This window comes from Homo sapiens, chromosome 1 (genome assembly GCF_000001405.40).
Source record: "Homo sapiens chromosome 1, GRCh38.p14 Primary Assembly".
Classification (NCBI taxonomy): Eukaryota; Metazoa; Chordata; class Mammalia; order Primates; family Hominidae; genus Homo; species Homo sapiens.
The window spans coordinates 117,591,386-117,596,831 of NC_000001.11; the positions used below are offsets into that span (position 1 = coordinate 117,591,386).

A 5,446-nucleotide genomic window follows, 5' to 3' on the forward strand; every position below is an offset into this window, starting at 1 on the left:
CTGGGAGCGTTCCTAGAGTTGCTGCTTAATGGGCGGAGGCTCTGCCCACTGCCTGTGGCTCCCAGCCCAGACTCTTATACCCAAGTCCCTCAGGAAAAAAGGAACAAAACAGGTTGTACTGTGTAAACAGTAGAAACTTCTCCAGGTAGAGGTCTGCTTCCCTCCAGGGCTCAGCATTAAGCTCCAAGAAAGGAGGGGGAAAGGAGGGGGAGAGGAGGAGAAGAGGAGTGGGAGAGGAGGGGGAAGAGCGGGGAAAAGGAGGGGGAAAGGAGGGTGCCAGAGCTACCCAGGAGCTGTCCAGGGGTCACTGTCATCCTAAAAAACACACTGCTGTTCAAAAGTGGCCAGCTCTGGAGCCACCTGGCCTGAGTTTGAATCCTGGCTCCTCAGCTTACTAGCTCTGAGGCTTTAATAGGTCATTTAATTTTTTTCCATATGAAACAATAGATCCTACCTCCAGGAAACAGCCCTGGGTACAGGCCCCAGCACACTTGGGCACTTAATAATGGTTGGCTACTACTGTGACTATCGCTACCAGACCAAGCAGTCTCTCCTCACTTTCAGCTGCAACTTCTCCAGTGTATGGCCAGATTCAGTCAGGAAGAAACAGGCAAAAGTATGAGTGTGGAGATGAGGCAAACCCAACAGAGGATTCAGGTTAGCTTTGCTCAGAAGGCCCCATCATCCACCTTCCAAAGCCTTTCCTCAAATCAGTGTGACAAGGGCCCACTGAGGCAGGCCAGATGAAGGGACAAGCCACCTTCCCAGCCAGACCCTCAGGCTGACATTGCCAGGTGCCACTTTGGAAATGACAGCTGCTAAGAAGCCAGCCCTGCCCTCCCAGACGTGACCGTGCAAGGCCGCTGCTTAGCGCCTTGTGACCAAACAAGTGGGTGCCCAGAGGAGCTGTCCACTCTTCCTCTCACTGTCCTGGCATCAGGAAGACTCGGCTATTGTTTTTTTGGTCCTGGAAACTATGTCCTCATCTCAGGCTTTCTCCATTACCACCAACCCCGCTCTGCTTGGATGGCTGCCCTGGGGAATTTGTTCTGTGCAAAGCAAATAAAAACGTATTTCGAACTGGATCACTGGCAGCAAGGGCAGTTCTAACTGCCCTCTAACCCGTTAAACTAGAACAAAGACCAAGTGTCATTCCATGGAACCATGAAGGCCAATCCCCTACCCCTCAAGAGATACAGACTAAGGCCAGAAGGGCCTTGGGACCTAGGGATAACACCCTTGCTGTGCGAATGGGAACCCCAAACTCAGAGAGGAGAAGCAGCTTACCCAAGACATAGAGCAAGTTACAGAGAGCCAAGACTGGAACCCACAGCTCTGAACTTCTCTCTACCCAGCTTCCCCAGCTGGTTTTGTGTGGGACAGATATAATTCTTAGATGCTTTCCAGAGCTTTAAGCTCAATGAAGTAGAAGCTGGTTTACCCTGAATTCTAACTATTAGAAATGCCCATTTAGGAATTCTCAGAAATAATGATAATGGTTATCCATAATAAGGACAGCAAAGCTTTGGAAGATTAAAAAGTAATTTTTTCATCTCTAAAGATTAAATTATGTTGAGCAGAGTTTGGGAGTTGCCAAATGCTCAGTATAAAAGTGGGCATTTTCAGGCTGAGTGCAGTGGCTAGCATCTGTAATCCCAGCACTTTGGGAGCATAATTTGAGCCCAGGAGTGTGAGACCAGCCTGGGCAGCATAGGGAGACTCCATCTCTACAAAAAACAAAAAAGATAAAAATTATCCAGGCCGGGTGTGGTGGCTCACGCCTGTAATCCCAGCACTTTGGGAGGCCAAGGCGGGTGGATCACGAGGTCAGGAGACCGAGACCATCCTGGCTAACATGGTGAAACAGCATCTCTACTAAAAAAATACAAAAAATTAGCCGAGCGTAGTGGCAGGCGCCTGTAGTCCCAGCTACTCGGGAGGCTGAGGCAGGAGAATGGCGTGAACCCAGGAAGTGGAGCTTGCAGTGAGCCGAGATCGTGCCACTGCACTCCAGCCTGGGCGACAGAGCGAGACTCTGTCTCAAAAAAAAAAAAAATTATCCAGGCATCATGGCACGTGCCTGTAGTCCCAGCTACTCAGGAGGCTGCGGTGGGTACATCACTTGAGCCCAGGAAGTTGAGGCTGCAGTGAGCTATCATTATGCCACTGTCTTCCAGCCTTGGTGACAGAGTGAGACCCTGTCTCTAAAAAAATTAAATAAATAAATAAAAGTAGGCATCTTCAAAGATTAACGTGCATAAAATCAGTGAAGCATCTAATTTGTACCATCTCTCAGTGTGCCCGGACATTTGGCAACACAGAATATCCTATTTCTCCAATGATGGACGTGGGTTTTTGGAAGACTATTTGAAAAACCAGAAGTCTAAGACTTAAGAGCACTCACGGTGGCTACATGGGCATGTGCACAGCTGTGATGTGAAGGTGGGGGACGTGCTCCTGGCTGAGGAATAGCCTGTGCAAACAGGCATATGGAGCACTGGGGGCTTCCAAGATGGGTTGGAAAGAGAAAGAAGGAGGGTGTGAGTATACCCAGGGCTGAGGGGTGTTAGGGTTGACTTGTTTATCAGTGAAGATTTTGAATGGAACTGCCTAAACTGGCATTTCTTCAGGACATTAGAATTAACACTCATTCCTGCAGAACGTGGGCTATCAGGGGCTTCTTATAAAAATCAAAGACCCCTGGGTCCCATCCCTGAGCTACAGAATAAGGGGTTGAATAGGGCCGGGACATGGGAATGCGCCTTTATAACAAGTGCCCCCGGGTGGTTCCAATGGTCTCAAAGTTTGAAGAACAATGTCTTCAATGGAGGAATAAACTTAATGCTCACAGATGGGCCTCTCTTGACCCTTCAGGTCAAGACTCAGGGGAAGGACTTCCTCCCTGGGAGCTCTGCACTGTTTCCAATCTGAGAGACATGCCTTGTATCTGGGTGACTGACACCTGGAGACGAGACCCTCCATCCTCTTCCAGGGCAGCCTTGTCCTCAGTGTGGGTCCTCTGTCCAGATATAGCACAGTGATCAGAGCATCTTCTGTCAGCACTCAGGGCGGGTCATCCCCTGACTGCTGCGACTTTCAGCGCTCTACTCTGTCTTGCCCTCTGCCCATCTCCCCCAGTAAGCAAGAATGAGAGAGAGCTGTCACCTCATTCAGGTTCACATGGCTGTGAACCTGATGGTTCAGAAATAGAAACAGATTTCTAAACGCTGTTACAGGAAACCTGCACCCCCAGAGGCCAGGCTGCAACAGGCATCTCACCCTCTGCTTTAGCTAACTTGGCACAGGTGAGGGCCAAAGTGGTTATAAAACCTTTCCTGTACGGTCTGCAAGTGCCAGGCCTGTGATTATTTTACTCTTTCATACAAAAATGAACCACTGGGGAGACAGGCTATAACAGCTCACAGACTCATAGCACAGTAGTTCCTTTTGCTTTGAGAATGTCACCAGCTTGGTTGGAGAGGATCTTTGGCCTGGGATGGCTCTCCCCAAAATAAAACAATGAGAAAGGAGGGAAGGCCAAAGCCGAGTAATAGCTGCATCACCTGGCTGCTTGTAGATACGGATGTGTCCATGGAGCTGACAGCTCAATTCAGCCGTGAACCCTCGGGCTTTTGGCATCTCTTCGGCTGAGAGAAGTTTCCCTGGGCTGTACCTTAATCACTTGTGCCTTATTCTGTGCCCTTTGATCCACCCCCGTGCCCTCAACTGAGCACATTTGGATGAAAGACACCCAACCTAGAAGCTGCCAGAAACAAACTTCATTCCCAAGTAAAGTTGCTGGGGCCGGGCGCGGTGGCTCACGCTTGTAATCCCAGCACTTTGGGAGGCCGAGGCGGGCGGATCACGAGGTCAGGAGATCAAGACCATCCTGGCTAACACGGTGAAACCCCGTCTCTACTAAAAATACAAAAAAATTAGCCGGGCGTGATGGCGGGCGCCTGTAGTCCCAGCTACTCGGGAGGCTGAGGCAGGAGAATGGCGTGAACCGGGGAGGCGGAGCTTGCAGTGAGCCGAGATTGCGCCACTGCACTCCCGCCTGGGCCACAGAGCGAGACTCCGTCTCAAAAAAAAAAAAAAAAAAAAAAGTTGCTGGTACCAGCTTACCCTGTTGGATTCTCTCTGGGAGCTTGAACTTTAGATAGCAAAGGAGGCTGAGTGTGGTGGTCATGTCTGCAATCCCAGTACTTTGGGAGGCCAAGGCTGGGGGATTGCTTGAGCCCAGGAGTTCAAGATCAGCCCTGGCAACATGGCGAGACCCCGTCTCTACAAAAAAATAAAAAGAAATTAGCCAGGTATGGTGGTACACACCTGTAGTCCCAGCTACTCAGGAGGTTGAGGTGGGAGGACCACTTGAGCCTGGGAGGTCGAGGCTGCAGTGAGATGTAATCATGCCATTGCACTCCATCCTGGCCAACAGAGTGAGACCCTGTCTTAAAAAAAAAAAAAAGGATAGCAAAGGAGTTGAAAATTTGTGGTGGAAGAAGACTCTAGAAAAGAAAGTAGTTAGGTCTTATTAATAATCAGAAATCATTAATTCTAATGCTGCTGAGAGGGCCATGAGAAAAATGGATTCCTAGATTTGCCAGGACACATTTGAGTCCCCAGATTCAGTCCTGTAAAGTCAGCTTTCCCTTACCTTTGTCCGGGGTCCCTATGAGACTCCTGTCTCCTCATTACCCCAGCAACTTTCAAAAAAACTCTTCATTATCTGAAGCCAGCTGCAAGAGCTTATTCTGTTGCAACCTAAGGTAGAGCTCTGTCCAACTCTGTTCCTCATTACAGTGGTAGCTGGTGGCCTCAGGTTCCAAAAAGAGGAAGGAAAACAGATATGCACCAGGTGCTGTGATGGGACACACACTTTCACAGGTCACACAGGTTATCTTATGTAATTCTCATGGTTACTCCAAGTGACAGGCAGGGTGACCCTATTGTATGGATGAGGAGCCTGAGCCCCACAGGATGACACAATGTCTTAGACTGCGTGCTCAGCCCTGCTCTTGATGTACCATGTATGTGATGATCAGCGTGGACTTGCCCTGTGTTTCTCTGCTACATTTCTACACTGAAAACAAAACAAAAACAAAACTAACATCAATGTCTTCCCTGAGGGGCCTGGGGGCCGCCTAGCAGACAGTCCCTGTGACCTCACGTGGTGAACAGTGGGCAATGGCTGGTCAGGGTCCCTTGCTCCTCAATGAGAGGGTCTTTGAAGAAGCTCCTGCCTCAGCTCCATTCTCTGCCAAGAGCTGCATGTCAGGCTGGTAGGGGCCCTGGAGATTTTCTGGAAGATTCCCTCCTTTTTCAGGAGAAGAATCTCAGTCCCAGAGAGGGAAGCCTCCTGAATAATACTAGCTGACATTTTTTGAAAACTTCCTGTGTGTGAATTAGCCCACTTCATCCTCACAACATCCGCATAAGACAGGTA

General features: G+C 49.5%; 1 annotated feature.

The window, feature by feature from the left end:
- Positions 4,730 to 4,979: an enhancer, noted in NCBI's record as "active region_1582". NCBI's record gives its function as "activates an Ori minimal core promoter by ATAC-STARR-seq in GM12878 lymphoblastoid cells {active_cell/tissue: GM12878}" and the evidence as "EXISTENCE:reporter gene assay evidence [ECO:0000049][PMID:35858748]".